We start from the raw sequence: 18,381 nt of genomic DNA, 5'->3' as shown, positions 1-18,381 counted from the left end.
CTTGAGCAGGAGTAATTGTAGACATCAGTTTACCTTAAATGGGCAGAATTCAGATAGATAACAACAACAACAAAAAAGAGACTGTGGAGGTTATTCATAGTGGGCTAATTTGTGTGGGAAAAAGAAGTAGGTATAAATCAATATATTCTAGTATCTGTGAGATAACAAATATGAGAAATTTTTTTCTAGGCTAGTTGGGTAAAGTTTAAAAGTGTTGTGCTTTATCCTCTAGACAATTGAGAGTAGTTGCCGTATTTAAGAAAGATAAATAAACTGTTCTGTGTGCAGGGAAGATAGAAATGGAAGACATTGGAAGCAGAGAGAAGCTAAAGGAGAACGTTCACATTATCCTAAAGTGTTAAGAACCTGAATGAAACTCATTGCAAAATCATTGCCAGGGAATACAGTGCAGGGACTGACTCTAGTAGTGGATGAGGACAACTCACAGAGAGAAATCTGACAATCCATGTTTAGCAGAGGGAAGGAAGCCAGGAATAGTTATTAATAAGTCCAAGACTTCAGTTTTGTTTTTTTGTTTTGTTTTAACTCCCAGCAAGCTAAACTTGACAATAATGTAGCTCAATTTCTCCCTACCTCATTTTCTTAATCTCTATAATCTTGCCCCAGAAAAGCCGTTTACACCCTAGCTCAGAAAATTCTGTATTAATTTGTCTTCATAAGATTGTAAAATTTTCAAAACTGTCTATTCATGATAATTAGAGAAATACAAATCAAGACCACAATGAGATGCAATCTTACACCAGGCAGAATGGCTATTACTAAAAAGTCAAAAAAATAACAGATGCTGGCAAAGTTGTGAAGAAAAAGGAATGCTTATACACTGTTGGTGGGAGTGTAAATTAGTTCATCCATTGTGGAAGACAGTGTGGCAATTCTTCAAAAACCTAAAGACAGAAATAGCATTTGACCCAGCAATCCCATTACTGGGTATATACTCAAAGGAATATAAATCATTCTATTATAAAGACACATGCATGCATATGTTCACTGCAGCACTATTCACAATAGCAAAGACATAGAACCAACCAAAATGGCGATCAGTGACACACTGGATCAAGAAAATGTGGTACATATACACCATGGAATACTATGAAGCCATGAAAAAGAACAGAGATCATGTCTTTTGCAGGGACATGGACGGAGCTAGAGGCCATTATCCTTAGCAAACTAACACAGGAACAGAAAACCAAACACCACATGTTCTCACTTATAAGTAGGAGCTAAATGATGAGAACTCACATGGACGCATAGAGGGGAACAACACACACTGGGGACTTTCAGAGAGTGGAGACAGGGAGATGGGAGATCATCAGGAAAAATAACTAATGGGTGCTAGACTCAATACCTGGATGATGAAATAATCTGTACCATCAAAATACTGTCCTCATCTTAAAAGTAAATAGCACTATTTTATTTAATAGTTTATATTTTGGAATCCTAACCAGATATTTTTTCCTTAAATTTCAAGCACTGCATTACTTCCAAAGACATGCTATGGGTATGTGGAAATTATATCAAACATGAGTAAATTTTGTTGACCAAGACTATAGAAATAACAATACCATCATATAAAGATACTAATACAGACATTGTTGGTTGGTGAAAATTACCCCCAAATGTCCAATGCCGTGAGTATACTTTGAATAGCTACTTAGTTTGGTTTTTATTAACATTATATGAAGGTTATTTCTAAGCCTGCAGACATAATTCGTAGAATATACTACTCCGATATTTGAGAATGTACTACTTAAATATCTGGATATATTTATTCCAAATATATCTCCACTGTGCTTTTTTAGAAGATGCAATTGCCATCACAGTAAGATATTGCTGATTCAGGTGAAATTTTTAATTAACTAGAAAAATCAAAGAATGCAATTCTTTTTCAAGATTTCTTCAAATAAAGAAACAAGCAAGATTAGGCTGTGGTGCTGTGAATAACACCAAGAAGTACGGAGTCGGGCAAGCCTCAGGTTCAGTCACAGTTCTACTGATAAGCAGATAATAATTCTAAGGGTGCGTTTTTGTGTCTTAGGTTTGTGGATACCTATGGTAGCATTCCACAGATCAACATTGAGCCTACCCCACGACTATTCAACCTGCCCATTATTTGGGTAGCTTTCATATAACCAGTTAGAAAGAAAACATCTATGAAAACTACTAAAGAATTATATATTTTAATTAAGGGTACCGAACATGGTCAAGTTAGAGAACAATACAGTAGAAACCTTCTATTCAAATATAATTGAGACCAGTTTTTTGATAGTTAATCTAAAAAATGAGTTAAGGAGGAGGATCACAGGGTTAAAAAAAAACCACAAATGTAAATTAATTGGCCAATATTTTGATATAAGCCCAGGACCCTTTGATTATCACTTTATTAACTGGAGTTTCTATACATTGTCTTCTTTGTATAAATTATTATCATAACAAGTCAATTAGAATTCCAAATTTTTATTTGTTTAAAGTAGAACAAAAATTTAAAGTAACAGAAGTGCAAAAACCTTTTAGCTTATTAAAATTGTTATTATTCTAATTTTATAATTTTTTCTTAAAATTTTTACATTGCTTAGCCCTCACATTAATCAACTTAGCTTTTTCTAATCTTTTCAAGACCCAACATATTTTTACATAAATAGCACCACTCCATTATGACCACATCACTGATTTTATTTATGTCACCAAAGACTAACTTGAATACAACCTAAATAAACTGGCTTGTAAATAAGTTAACATAATGCTAAGTTGAGGCAATAGACATAATAGAAAACACACTGTTATTTTATAGGGAGAATGTACAGTGTCAGTTCATTTAACAAATTAGTTAAACACAACTCAACTACAACAATGTCAATGAAAAGTAGCAAATTCTGTTTTTGCTCCATGGACTTTACAGCCAGTGAGTCCTGAGAAAGAAGAGATAATTTAAAGAGCTTCATTGGCAGGTGAATCTGTGCTTGGCCTTTTAGCTTAGAGAATGAAGCTCCATATTAAAAGCAGAAGAATAGTGAGGCATCACATGTGAAGAAAGGAATCAGAACAGACATGCAGGGGCAAAAGTAGCCACGGTCTGCATTCTGGCTCAGGAGGACAGTATGTGTTGAAGAGCAAAGCTTAGAATGGGCTGATGCCTGTAACCTCACCCCATCCCATTGCTTTATCTACTCACAGATTGCCCAGAAAATCGGGCACCCCACAGTGAGAACAGGAACTGGGCATCCCAGCTAATCTTCAGCTGGGTGGGTCTCATAGGGTGGTCAGATTTGAAAAAAATAACAATAGGCTTTGAAGAAAAAGACTTGGAGATGAAGCAGAATGCTCCTGCCAAAGCTTTCCTCAATTGACATAAGAGGAACAAGTTTATTTCCCAAATTAATTATAGTATAATTTACCAGGTATCCAAATAAATTTGTTTAGAGACTAAGAGTTTTCCCCTCAAATAATGCCTGACCATAATTTTACATATAATTCTTTTATTCAGCAAATGTTCAATGTATGTTTGTTTTATACCAAACACTTTTTAAGGAATTAGGAATACCATTGTGGATAAAATAGACAATCTTCACTAAATGCTTAGTTATGACAGGAGGCAAACAAATACATAAGAAAGAAAATAATTCAGAAATACAGTTTTATGCCTAATTATATCAGGTGATAGTAAGTACTGTGTCCCCAAAACACTTACTCATTTTCTCAAACTATTATAAAACAGGGAAGGTGCATAAAGAGTGCTGGACATGGGACTGAAGATTCTGTTTTAAATATGGTGGCCAGGGAAGTCCTCACTGTGTAAGAACATTCCAACAAAGACTTGAAGGAGATGAGGGAAGTCATCAAGTGGATGGGAAAAAGAACACTCCCAGTAACAGGACCAGCAAATGCAAAGACCAGAGGAGAAAGACTGCTTTACTTAAGGGACAGCAAATAGGTCTCCCTGCTACAGCAGAGTAAATACAGTGGAAATGGTAGAAGAGTTTTTAGTTGTAAGGCAAGAAGGGGGACCAACCATGGAGAGTCTTAGATGTCATTGTGGAGATTTCCATTTTGCTGGAGGTGAAATGGAAGCCACTGAAGGCACTTGAAATGGAGGCTGATATGGTTCACAGCTTTAATAGTCTGCTGTCTGCTGAGATAAGAATTGACTATAGGACAAAGGGTAGATCTAGGTAGTGAGATGTTACTGCAGTCACCTAGGAAAGAGCTAGGATGATTTGAACTAGAGTGGTAGTAGTAAGAGGTGGTCATACTTTGAAAATATTTTTAAAGTAGAGTTGACAGGATTTGGTGATGAATTTGGCATGTGATGTGAGTCAAATTTCATAGCCTCAGCCAAACATCCCTATTTAATTACGTTTAATATAATGGAAAAGGTGGGGGAAATGGATTAAGAAAAGAAAGAAGTTTGGCATGGGAAACAGTAAGGTGAAGAAACCAGTCGGGATGTTAGATATCTAAATCTGAGTTCAGGAGTTTTGAATGCATACAAAATTTGATCGTTAGCATGGGGCTAGTATTTGAAACCATGAGACTGGACAAGATCATTTTAGTTTAGTGTATTTCCACAGATTATATTTCAAGCATCATGCTAGATACTTTAACGTTTGGCCATTTTAAAAGCCCACTGGTAAATTTCACAGGAATGAGGATTTGACTGACCTGTTTTTCTCAGCTGTCTGACCTCAGTAGGATGCATTATTGTATTGTATTTAATTCCCTATAAAATTCCAAAATATCAAAATAAGGCCTGTATTTATTAGCAGGATTTTTCAGATAGAACTATACTACTTAATTTCACAGAAATATCCTTCCCTGGGGTGATGATACTATTATATCACCAGTCATGAAGTCATGCTAACTTGTAGGCAACAATGGAGCTCACATTTTGATCTAAGCTAATTAGCATGCATTACTTAAATTATGAAAATGCACACTTTCAGGGGGCAGACAGATTTTATTAATTCTGAATTATGTCAAACTATCACTTAATAATTCTCAAGGGCCCAACTCTGGCAAAACCAGATGCTGCAGTGTATGTGTTTCCTATTCTCTTCCAACTTTTTTCATCATGTTTCATCAGCAAATGCTATGAAGTCTAATTAATTTAATTAATGGATCTCAGGGCCATTGGACAATGCATTTACATGAATTGCTCTGTGAAGGAGCTCTGTCTTGCTCTCTCTCTCTGCCCACCCTTTCTCCCCCGCTTTCTCTTTCAAGAGCAGAACATTTTGGTGAGCTCCAGTTAACTGGCTGAACTAAGCAGCGATCTCTTAGGTAATGATGCACTGCTAACAAACCTCAGCATAGACTATAACACTACCACTAAAGCTTCTGTTCATGTTGTTCTAGGGCTGATAAAATGGAATATTGTAATCTAGCTCTGAGGAAATTTGAGATTGTCTCATGTTTTCTCAGTTAAACCAGAAAATAATTAATTATAGGGAAGGGACAAGAACTGCCATGGCAGAGCCAGGCTGAGAAATAATTTCTGTTCACTCTCAATGTATTATCTGCTTTGTCCCTAGAGGCTCCCTTTTGTTACTCTTATATCAAAATCTCACTAAATTTTCCTGCCATCTCAACTCAAAAATCATACCTACAAAGAGCTAAAGTTTTATCTTTTTGCTTTTGCAAAAACTCTGTGCGAGCTATGAGAGTGTAAGCTTTATAGTTATATACAGATGTTTTTATTTATAATATTTCTCCTGCAAAACAGGATTAGAGAAAGTGAACCAAAAAGAACATGTAATAAGATGAATAATGAATAGAAAAATAAATTGCTCTAAAGACAAAGTAAAGGAAACTATAAAAGGGAGATGACTAGAACTATTTAGCAAGAAGAGACCTCATTCTTTCCATCAAATAGTGTGGTGTAATTTGCACAATGCACCCAATGGTTAATGAACACATATTTGTTGAGGATATCATTAATAAATAATACAACCAATGAAAAACTAATACAAAATATTTTTACTCTGCAGGAAGTAACTATTAGGTAGGTATTGTAAATTCTAACTTTAAAAGGTAGAGGAAAATATATATTGATCTGACTCATAAATTCAACAGGAAGACACAGAGTAACAATTACTGCAGGTGAATTTCAGCTCTCAGTCTATCTACCAACCAGTGTCACCAGGAACCTTCTTCAGACCCATGTATCCAACTGCGTATTTATCTTTTGCACCTGAATATCCCTCAGATATCTCCATTTAATTCATCTTCTTCCTCCAAACTGGACAGTATCCAAGCAGATCCAGAGAACTGTGAAGAGCTATTCTAGTCTCCGCCCTCTCCCCTGTTGCTGATCCAGTTAAGAGGGCCAAAGAATGTAGTTGAGAGGACATCAGCTCTGTATCTAGTAGCATTTAGTTTTAACCTCATCCCTTCACTTAAAATTGGCATGGCCTTCAGTAAGCGATTTAACTCCTCTGAATATCAACTGATAAAAGTAAAAATAAAAAAATTTACAAAATTAATTGTAGTGAGGATTAAAATATCATGTTTGGTACATCATGAGCTCTCGATAAACAGTTGTAGTATTGTTATTCAAACTGGTACACAGGCCTATCACTTCTCTTTCCTTTTAGATCTGTTTTTTTTTTTTTTCCTTCTGTTCTCACCTCTGAATGTCCCAACCCAATCTCTCTTCCTCTATCACCTTTTTAGGAAATCCATCCCCACCCCACTCACCCCACCACTCCTCACACTCCTTTCTCTCCTACCCTGGCCTCCACCACAGCTCCTCCATCCCCACCTGTAATCCAGCCTCTAAACCACTATCAGGGCTGCGGTTCTGAAGTGCAAATCTCATCATGTTGTACCTTATAATATCTTTGAATGACACCTATTTGTCTCATGATAAATTCTAAACTCTTTAGTTTTATGTGGACCATGACCATTTTTTATCTGACCCTGTCTGTCTCTCCCTAATTCTCATTTCTCTCCACCAAATACTCCACCCTTGTACTGAACAACGTGCCTCTACTTTCATCTCTTCATACTTATATTTTTTCCTTGATCCTTAACTTTGCTCACAATGTTCCTGCCATCTGGAATAGCATTTTCCCTACTGGCCTGGAAAATTTGACTATTCCTTTGTGGCGGAATTCAGTTTTCACTCCCCCGTGAGTGACCTTCTTAGGACAAATTGACAGTATCTTATATTGTAGTCCCACAGTCCAATAGGCAGTCTTCAAGTGTCCAATATGACAGTGCATGATATTTGTTGTTTATATGCCTATTTCCCCCACTGGCTTTGAGAAACTTGAGAGATTGTTGTAACCATTTGTATCTACAGTGTCTAGCAGAGCATGCATCTATTTGTGTTTTGAATGAGTGAGTGAATTAATGAATGATGAGAAAGCAATGACCTATGTTTTCTCTCTACCTCTTACACGAGATTATAAATAGACTGATTCAACTGAAGATTCCAGGTCCTATTCCTTTTGCTGTTGTTATCGTATACGTTAGCAAAAAGCTTCATCCTTTCCAAAAATTTCTTCAGTGGTAGCAATAAATTCAGTGTCTTCTGGAAGCAACATTGTGCTCTCTTTCTCTCTCTCTCTCTGATTTGCCTATTGCTACTTTGCATAGTATGTGTTTATGACTTTATCATTCGTTACAGTACATGTAATAGGAGCCCTGCTATTTCTTCATAAGTGGTTATGAAAAAATATTCATACTTGCTTATGTTTTGTGAACATCTATATGTGGTGGAGCATATGTTATTATAATCTTACTTTAAGTGGAAATACAGTTTAAAGGATTTTCTCTTACTGTTCTTAATGTAAAGCTTCTAAATTAGATATACAAAAGCGCTCATCTAGAAGCTAATGGAACCACAAGCAAAACACAGAAAAAGGCTTACCGAGAACAAATTATAACAAACAAATGTTAGTTTTATTGCAATAGAATTACTGAATTAGTACATGATGGAACAAAAGATCTATAACAAGTTTAGATGTCAGTAATTTATTGGACATGGATTGTATGTACTGTACCCACAAAATTCTATCAAATTGTTTCTATTTCAAGAAATTTTCAGTTTATTCATGTTCAACACAAAAGTTAATTATACATGAAATATAAACTGAATGGAAAACATTGGCATTGTATTTCCTGGCTTTCTGGGAAGAATGTGGTAGTAAGGTTAACATGGAAATGCAAGAGAAAGCTCTTGCCTCCTCTCCTTGTTCCCAGGATAGGACAAAATACACATGGCCAAGAATGAGAAAAGTAGGACAGAACCCAATGTAGTCAAGAGAGTTATGACCCTGAGGTGTGAGGTAAGATCTGGCCCTGGGAATGTTGACTGACACTGCAATATTTAGTGTCTAGACTGGAATGATTAGCTATGAAGTGGGTTAACTTGGAGTCTTTAGAGATGGCGCTATTCCCAGAAAGATAAATGAGATCCAGTCCTAGGACAAAAGGACAAACATCATTGGTCGGAAAAAGAAAAAATGACTTAGAAAAAGAGAGAAAGAGAAACCAAATGTAGAGGAGAAGAAGAAATCCCAAGGATGGAGACCAAAGGGTTTCCCAGACAGTCTGTTCCTTGGGAATGTGAGTTACACAGCAGCCTGGAAGATGATGTTACTTCCAAGCCCATGATTCTGTCTCCATGACTTAGGACACTAGTCACAAAGAAATAGAACATACCTTTCCCTTTCTAGATATCATTGTCAGTTGAAGAACTGCTACTCATGGCCTGCTAGAGTGAAACTCATTGGTTCTAGGAATGAATGAAATTGGACCTGCTGGAGGCTTTTAATTATTATGTGGGCATCAGAACTGATGAGGATTGATGTGGGTGTTATTTCAATAAAGTGTTACAAACAATTCATATATGAAAAATTTACTTTTTCTTAATTTATAAATACGCTAATATAGTATTTCAATGTTGTTATTCAAATTAAAGACCATGTGAGTTCTTAGACACAATCTCTCACTGTGTATTAATTGCAATAAGACATTGCAATAACCACATATATATTATATATATATATAAATTAATAGACATTACTTTTTGAGCTGTTTTAGGTTTACAGACGGTATTAGTGAAAATTAAAGTGCGTGTCCATAGACTCTCTCACCCCACCCCCATTTCTCCTATTTTTAACATCTTATGGTATTTTTAACATTAGCATGTTACATTTGTTACAAGTGATAAGCCAATGTTGATAAATTATTTTTATCTAAAGTTCATAATTATATTAGGGTTCACTCTTTGTGGTGTCCATTTTATGGATTTTAACAGGGTGTAATAAGATGTACCCACCATGACAATGTTACACAGAATAATAGTTTCACTGCCTTAAAAATCCCCTGGGCTCTACCTAGTTATTCCTCCTTTCTTTCCTCCCCAGGAACCCCTGGAAATGACTGATCTTTTTACCGTCTCCACAGTTTTGCCTTTTTCAAAATGTCATATACTTGAAACCACATAGTGTGTAGGCTTTCATATTGGCTTCTTTCACTCAGTAATATGCATTTAAGGTTCTTCCATGCCTTTTTGTGGCTTGATAGCTCTTTTTCTATACAGAACTGATTAATATTCCATTGTATGGCTACACCATAGAGTATTGGTCCATTTGCCTGTTGAAAGGTATCTTGGTTGTTTGTTTTGGTAATTATGAATAACACTGCTACAAACATTTGTGTGCATGTTTTATGTGGGCATAAGTTTTCAACTCATTTGGCAAATACCAAGGAGCACAATTATGGAATCATAGGCTAAGAGTGTGCTTTGTTTCATAAGAAACTGCTAAGCTGTCTTCCAAAGTGGATGTTCCATTTCGCATCCCCACTAGCAATGAGTAAGTTATTTCTGCTCATTGTTTTTACCAGCTCTCAGTAGTGTTGGTATTTTGGATTTTGGCCATTATAATAGCTATGCAGTGGCATCTCATTGTTTGAGTTTGCAATTTTCTAATGACATATGATATTGAGCATCTTTTCATGTGCTTATTTACCATTAGTAATATGTTGCCATCAGTAACTTTCCTTTCCCTTTCCATTGCCGCTGAGATCCAGCACTTTTTTTTTTTTTTGAGACACAGTCTCACTCTGTCACCCATGCTGGAGTGTAGTGGTGCAATCTCAGCTCACTGCAACCTCCACCTCCCAGGTTCAAGTGATTCTCCCTGCCTCAGCCTCCTGAGTAGCTAGGATTGTAGGCACCCGCCACCACGCCTGGCTAATTTTTTTTTTTTTTTTTTTTTTAATAGAGAGGGGCTTTCGCCATGTTGGCAGGGCTGGTCTTGAACTCCTAACCTCAGATGATCTGCCCTCCTCAGCCTCCCAAAGTGCTGGGATTACAGGCATGAGCCACCGCACCCGGCCATATCCAGTATTTCTTAATGGAAACTAAAACTTCACCAGTTACCACATTTTTCCCCATATATTTGTAATAAGTTCCAATGTCTGATAAGGCAAGTCCAACCCTCTGCATTTTTAAAAATTAATCAAGTTATTTATTAAAAATATTCTATGCACGTTTTAGAATCAAATATTTTATTAAAATCAATGATCATATTAGATTTATTGGAAAAATAATGTAATTTAATATTAAGTTATCACATTCATGAACATGATAATTTTCTACTTATTTGGATTTCCTTTAAGATCAATTCCTAAAATTTTCTATATAGATGGTTTTAGGGTTTTTTTTTTGTAGCTTAACTACAAGATACTTTGTAGTGTCTGAATTTTTATTACAGTTTTACACCTTCAATTCAATTATTGCTGATATGGATGAACTTTTTTTTCAGAATCTATTTTAGATTTAGTGGGTACATATGCAGGTTTGTTACTGCATATGGGATACTGCTTGATGCTCAGATTTGGAGTACAAATGTATCGATTAACCAGATGGTGAACATAGCATGCAATACTTTTTCAACCCTTGTCCTTCTCCTTCCATCCCTCATCTAATAGTCTGTTACTTTGTACTGTTTGCTATTATAAATTGGGGGGAAGCCATTATTATTATATATTAGCTTCAGAACAACTAGATTCAAGTCACAAAAACAATTTCGCACAAACAACTTTAGGAAACACTGCTTTGAAAACAGTAATCTGAATTATACCTGAAGCCACAGAAGCCAAATATTTACTAAAGGTTCTTTTAAGAAAAACAAGTTGGCCGGGCACGGTGGCTCACGCCTATAATCCCAGCACTTTGGGAGGCCAGGGTGGGTGGATCACGAGGTCAGGAGATTGAGACCACCCTGGCCAACATGGTGAAACCCTGTCTCTACTAAAATAAAATATAAAAATTAGCCGGGCATGGTGGCACGAGCCTGTAGTCCCAGCTACTCAGGAGGCTGACGCAGGGGAATGGCTTGAACCAGGGAGGCGGAGGTTGCAGTGAGCTGAGACTGCACCACTGCACTCCAGCCTGGTGACAGAGCAAGACTTTGTCTCAAAAAAAAAAAAAGAAAAAAACAAGTTGTATGGAAGGAGGACATCATTAACAGTATATCTCTTCAATAATGGTTTATTTTACTATTCTCATTCTTCTCATTCCTCTCTTACTATGTCCCAAATCCCTTCACAGGCTAAAAGAAACTCTTCAGAATTAATCCTATTCATAAAGAACACCACTTACTGAGTATTGCATTTTCTTCTTCAAATTCTTCAGCATACATTGGGAATACACCCTATGGACCATTTTTATGCTTTTAGTTTTGGGTTTTTTTTTTTTTTTGGCTAAAGAAACTGCAAAAAAAGATTTAGGACCTCATTCTATTAGGTTAGTATTTATCTAGTAAACTTCAGCATAAGCTAAATAAAATACATGTTGTTGCTCTGGACTGAAACCCCTCAAAACCATATTGTAAAAATTACAAAAAAAATTAACTGAAATCATGTTTTTAAAAATCTTGTAGATGACAAGATATGATATATAGTAGGTTTAAGTACCTATTTCAACGGTTCCCAAAGTGGGGCCCTCAGACGCCCAGGTCCAAACTATTTTAACGTGAATACTAACATGGTGACATTTGCTGTAACGGTGCAAATACAATAGTGGGTAAAAATGCTGGTACTTCAGCACAAACAAAGGCAGTAACACCAAACTAGTCATGGTATTCTTCACTATGCACAGGAAAGGTTTAAAAAGGAAGGGCAGGCTGGGCATGGTGTCTCACGCCTGTGACCCCAGCACTTTGGGAAGCCGAGGCAGGTGGATCACTTGAGGTCAGGAGTTTGAGACCAGTCTGGCCAACATGGTGAAACTCCATCTCTACAAAAAGTACAAAATTTAGCTGGACATGGTGGTTGCATACCTGTAGTCCCAGCTACTTGGAAGGCTGAGGTAGGAGGATTGAGCCCAGAAGGTGGAGGCTACCGTGAGCTGTGATCATGCTACTGCACTCCAGCATGGGTGACAGAAGAAGGCCCTGTTGGAAAATAAAAAGAATGTCTATGATGAAGCAGTGAAAATTGTACTACATCTTCATCCTTGAATATATCTTTTTAATATTTCAAGTGATGAAATTGGAAGTACACATGAGCATTTCTACAGACTGCCTGAGAAAAAACCCTCATGTGACTAAGTTGTGAAGTGAATTAACCACTTTAATGGAATACCATTTTTACTTGAAAGGATGACTGACAAACAATGTTATTTCAACTTGGGTTTTTGGGAGACATTTTCTCAAAAAATGAGATTTTGTCAATTCAAGAAAAACAACAGACAGGCCATAATAAAATTCAATAATAAAATTCAAGCTTTTGAACAAAAAATTAGAATTTTAGAAAACTTATATACACCATAGCTTTCCAAAAGTATTCTGATGAGATTGATGGTGATATTGATGAATGTATTTTGATATTATATAATCAAATGTATCAACACGTAGAAGATCTTGGTGAACCATTATTTTCTAAATGACCAATGCACGATGTTATAATATCATGCAAGGGTAAAAGATCCAAAGTTCAAGAAAAACCAAGTTTTGATGGAGTATCAAAAAAGAAGCCTAGGCAACATGGCAAAACCTTGTCTCTATAAAAAGATAGAAAAAATTAGCCAGGTGTGGTGATACACACCTGTAGTCCCAACTACTCTGGAGGCTGAGGTGGGAGAATCACCTGAGTCCCCAGAGACTGAGACTGCAGTGAGCTGTGATTACACCACTGCATTCCAGCCTGGGCAACAGAGCAAGACCCCATCTAAAAAATATATATATATTATTTTATATATATATATATATATATATCTCCACAATAATCTAAAATGGCTATCTGTATGAGATTGGACATTGTTCACATTTTTTCAAGCAAATATCACACAATAAATTGAATGCAGATGAAAACGACATACCAAACATCAAAGAAATTTGCAAAAAACGTAAGACTGTGCTACTTTGGGTTTAGAAATGTTTTCATAAAAGCATTTATAACAATATGTGATGAGCTTTTAAAGAATAGTTTAAATATTTCTGATTTAATTTCTAGTGATAAATACCAATAGATATAACCTACATAAACCAAAGCTCCTTGGGCCCTCAATATATTTTTAAGAGTATAAAGGAGTCCTGATTCCAAAACTTTGAGAACTGCTGCCTTCCCCTCCACTTACCTTCCTTCCCTAGAACTTCTTCCTTGGAAGAAACATCCCTTTGCCATTCCATATTAACTTACAGAGTTCCACTGAGGCCGGTTTTGCTACCTCCCTCCCATCTTTCCACCTCCCTCTCTTGACACAAAATCTGACCAGCCCACCCGATTTCCAGTGATTAGCTGTCAAGGTGGGCTAAGCCAAGAAAATGTGGGTTTTCCCTGAGACTAAACCTCTCTTTCTGGGAGATCTGGAATCACAGGGACAAGGTTGGCCACCTTGGGGTAGTCAGAATTCATCTTGCCTAAATGCGGAGAGGTTAGGCAAGTTTCTAGAAAGCCAAACTGCTTTCTAGAAAGTCAAAGATAATTATACTTTGTGCCATGACTGTGAGACTGCCCATTTTATTGCACACTTTCTAACATTCTTACCAAACTGATAAATACAAGCTGGTACCTAGAAGAAAAAAAGGCCGGGCATGGTGGCTCACACCTGTAATCCCAGCATTTTGGGAGGCCAAAGCAGGTGGATCACCTGAGGTCAGGAGTTCGAGATCAGCCTGGCCAACATGGTGAAACCCCATCTCTACTAAAACTAGAAAAATTAGCCGGCGTGGTGGCAGGCACCTGTAATCCCAGCTACTTGGGAGGCTGAGGCAGGAGAATCGCTTGAACCCAGGAGGCAGATGTTGCAGTGAGCTGAGATCATGCCATTGCACTCCAGCCTGGGTGACAAGAGCAAGACTAAGTCTCAAAAAAAAAAACAAAAAAAACTTTCCATACAATATAATTTGTTCCATCTCTAGAAACCAATTCAGCAATGAGAACTGAAAGCCACCACTTGGAAGGTTTCAAGTATTCAGCTCTACCTATTGATGTCTAAAGCATTAGTTAAGGTAGAAACACACACACACACACACACATACAGCCTATGTATTCAGTACCAGGAAACATGACTGACTAGATGGTATAATCATCTAACAGAAAGTGTACAATAACTGAAGCCACTGCAGAGGAGTAAGTTATGACACGGATCTACAATATTGTTGAGTGAAAAAGCAGATTACAAGAAAAATCTGATTTTTCAAGGGAGAGGGAACATATACAAACACAGGAGAAAAGAGATGCGCAGATGACTGAAAAAATACAAAATTCTGATAGTGGTACCTTCTGAGTGGTAGAATTATCAGTAATATTTTCTAGTTTTGCCTAAAAATTTTCTAAATTTCTTAAAATAAGAAGGTTTTGTTATCCATATTATAAAATATCCACCACCACCACCACAGGAAACTTAACCTTCAGCACAAACTCTACAACATGTTCAAAGTTTGTTCAGTTTAATATTTAAAAGACAATCTATTTTGAAAGACATCTAAAATGATGACCAATATTTAAACCTATGCATTAATATTTTTCAATCATATTTTTTAAATTTTGTAATTTTGATAAGGTTAAGCTTTATATCAATCTTGAAAAGATAAGTTTTCTATTTGTCTTTAAAATATGACCTACAATATGCCAGTTTTTAAACAGTGAATGGTGCTCAAAAATCACAATATAAATTCAGGCAGTGTTCCTTACATAGAATGTTTAAGTGCTTCTAACACTGCTGTTTTTCACCAGTTATGAAAACACATTACAATTATCTAAGCATCTAATTATTCAGGTCCCTTGTTTCTCCTCCATTCTATTAGTTTTACAGTAATTTTAAGGTCTGTGAGGATGAAGTTGTCTGTGACAGCCACCACAAAGGTTACCATAAGTGGACAAATGTCAAACAAGTTTATCTCCACTACCATCCCCACCATAAAACTGTCTTGATCAAGGGCAACACATTTCAAGGTTAACCAAGACAACCTCTTTACCTGTCACTGCTCAAGAAAAGGATTTTTTGGTCTTATTTATAAATAACTTTCTGTATCTATTTTTCTCCATAAATCCACTGAGGCCAATGTGTGGCTCTATCTCAAGCTCCAGCAAGCAAAACTGCCTGCCAGAAGGTTCAGTTTTTGTATCTTTCCAAATGTAGGACACAGCTCTCTTTTGATATGATAGTTTTTTGAAAATTGATACACAAACTTCTTCTTGAAAGTTCAGCCAGGCACAGTGGCTCACACCTGTAATCCCAGGATTTTAGGAGGCCGAGGCAGGTGGATCACGAGGTCAGGAGTTCAAAACCAGCCTGGCCAAGATGGTGAACCCCGTCTCTACTAAAACCACAAAACTTAGCCAGGTGGGGTGGCAGGTGCCTGTAATCCCAGCTACTCGGGAGGCTGAGGCAGGAGAATCGCTTGAACCTGGGTGGCGGAGGTTGCAGTGAGACCAGATCGTGCCACTGCACTCCAGCCTGGGTGACAGAGTGAGAATCCGTCGAAAAGAAAAGAAAAGAAAAGAACTTCAGATATACAGCAATTGTAATTCTTCTGAAAGCTAGTTATGGGACACTACTTTCATACTTTGCTGTTCAATAAATGTGGGGTGGAGAATAAAGTAAACTGACAGAATTACCATATAAAATAAAATTCTAAGTGCTCTGACAACAAAAGAAACTTAAAACACACACACACACACACACACACACACACACACACACGGTTTTCCCTGCTAATCATTTTACAACTAAACAACCAAAGTAGCTAACCCAGAGCCCACAACAGCAGAGTAGAAATTCTAACACTTGGTTAAATAAAAATGCACATATACCCCTGTGAGCTAAAAAAAATGCTTTCAAAGACAGACAGTAATTACAGCTACTGAGAACATCACTGTAAGCAAACTGAGGCAGAGAAAACAACGGTGCTGATGAGGAATTGAACCACCTAACCTGCAGAAACCCACTGGATGGTTTCCTAGGTTCCGAGTTGGCATTATCTTTCAGAGTGATTTCTAAAAGAGATCACATAATACTGTTACAAAGGATCTGGAGAAAGGGACCCTTGCTTTATCTCTCTGGCTCTCCAGTCATGCTTTACATTTTCACTTCTTACGCTCTCTTTCATATGAAATCAATTTACAGACTTCCTTCAAGCCCTTAGAGACCTTTTTGTACTATCCATGACAAGTTCTTGATGTAGCTCTGCACTTTTGACAAATTCTTAGCAGTTAACTTTCAAGGCAGTTAAGATTTCTGTTCAAGCACGATATAGCTAGAATAGGGTCATATACTCAATAAAACAAATATTTACCAAGCATTTACTGACTGGAAGATAAAAAGCACAAAGCATAATTATAAAATATTTTCCCCTGCCACCATAAAAAAAAAATTAAAAAGGCCTACAGAATATAGCATAACATGACCAAAGCAAAAACAGTGAGGACCAAAGAGGGGAGGAAGGGAAAATATCAGCATGAACTGAATACGACCCAGGAGAGCCTTGATGGTCAGACATGTAAAGACAAATTGGGTAGGGTGAAGGGGTGGAGGTCAGGGACGCATCCTACAGGGGAAAAACAGCTCACACAGAAGCCTGAAAGGAAAAGCGCGAAGACACCTGTACGGGACTCTTACCTGCCGCCTTGACTGTACAATGAGCCCTTCCAGAACACAGCAGCGCGCGGCCAGGCCCCGGGGAGAGGGATCGCTCAAACAGCACCAGAGGCTGCATTCCAACTTTTCCTCCGTCAACGAGGCCGTTTTCATTGTTAGTTTCTCCTTAAACACAAACTTAAAAACAACTGGCTTAAATCTACTATCGCATCTTGCGTGATCATGTTTGTGCCTTACAGTGACAGGCTGCAAACGATAGAAATTCAACCCAAACTGTCACAAGAAAAGAAGGAAAGGCTTGTAACTACTTAAACATATTGCTAATTAAAGATGTCTGGAAAATTGACTCAAAAACAAAAACAAAAACAAAACAACAACAACAAAAAATTGGCCGAACACGCGGGAACAGGGAAAACCTGACTGAAGAATGAGGCCTTAAAACTTAAGGGCCTTGGGTCCCGGCGCGGTGGCTCACGCCTGGAATCCCAGCACTTTGGGAGGCAGAGGTGGGTCATTTGAGGTCAGGAGTTCGAGACCAGCCTGGCCAACACGGTGAAACCCCCTCTCTACTAAAAACACAAAAGTTAGCCAGCCTTGGTGGCGGGGCCTGTAATCCAGCTACTGGGGAGGCTGAGGCAGGAGAATCTCTTTAACCCGTGGACTGTCAAGGGACATAGGCTGCAGTGAGCCGAGATCCCGCCACTGCACTCCAGCCTGGGCGACAGAGTGAGACTGTCTCAAAAAAAAAAAAAAAAGAAAAGAAAAAAAAACTTTTTTTTTTTTTTTGAGAGAAGTCTCGCTCTTGTCCCCCAGGTTTGAGTGCAATGGCTTAATCTGGGCTCACTGCAACCTCCGCCTCCCGGGTTCAAACGATTCTCCTGCCTCTGCCTCCCAAGTAGCTGGGACTAAGGCGCCTGCCACCACGCCCGGCTAATTTTTGTAGTTTTTAGTAGAAACGCGGTTTGACCATGTTGGCCACGCTGGTCTCGAACTCCTGACCTCAGGAGATCCGCCCGCCTCGGCCTCCCAAAGTGCTGGGATTACAGGCGTGCGCCACCGCGCCCAGGCAAAACACGCGAGCATCTCAGAGGCCTTTTCCCTTCCGCGCCTGGGCTCAAACAACGCTGGAGCGCCCCGCCCCGCCCCGTCGCGGTCCCGGGAGCAGTCCCGCTGACTGAGGGCGACCATGGGTCCCAAGAGGGCTCCGGCCGCCGCGGGCTCCCACCTCGGTGCGTGGCGACGGCGGCCAAGAGGGGCCAGCGGCCCCCGAGTCAGCCCCGCGCCAGGAGCCGGAGAGACGCGCCCTC

General features: G+C 38.2%; 1 pseudogene across 1 annotated transcript in view; it reads right to left on the bottom strand.

The window, feature by feature from the left end:
• LOC400464 (ubiquitin conjugating enzyme E2 Q2 pseudogene) overlaps window positions 1-18,375 on the bottom strand; it is a 75,960-nt pseudogene extending 57,585 nt beyond the window's left edge. The window contains exons 1-3 of the transcript NR_135737.1: window positions 18,300-18,375; window positions 17,096-17,251; window positions 12,312-12,425 (exon numbers count right to left, since the gene is read on the bottom strand). The product of NR_135737.1 is annotated as a ubiquitin conjugating enzyme E2 Q2 pseudogene (transcript). The remainder of the gene's footprint in view (window positions 1-12,311; window positions 12,426-17,095; window positions 17,252-18,299) is intronic.
• Window positions 18,376-18,381: the final 6 nt, after the last annotated feature.

Source organism: Homo sapiens, chromosome 15 (genome assembly GCF_000001405.40).
Source record: "Homo sapiens chromosome 15, GRCh38.p14 Primary Assembly".
Taxonomy (NCBI): Eukaryota; Metazoa; Chordata; class Mammalia; order Primates; family Hominidae; genus Homo; species Homo sapiens.
The sequence above is the reverse complement of the archived record's forward strand: the minus strand, read 5'-3'. Positions and strand labels throughout refer to the sequence as shown.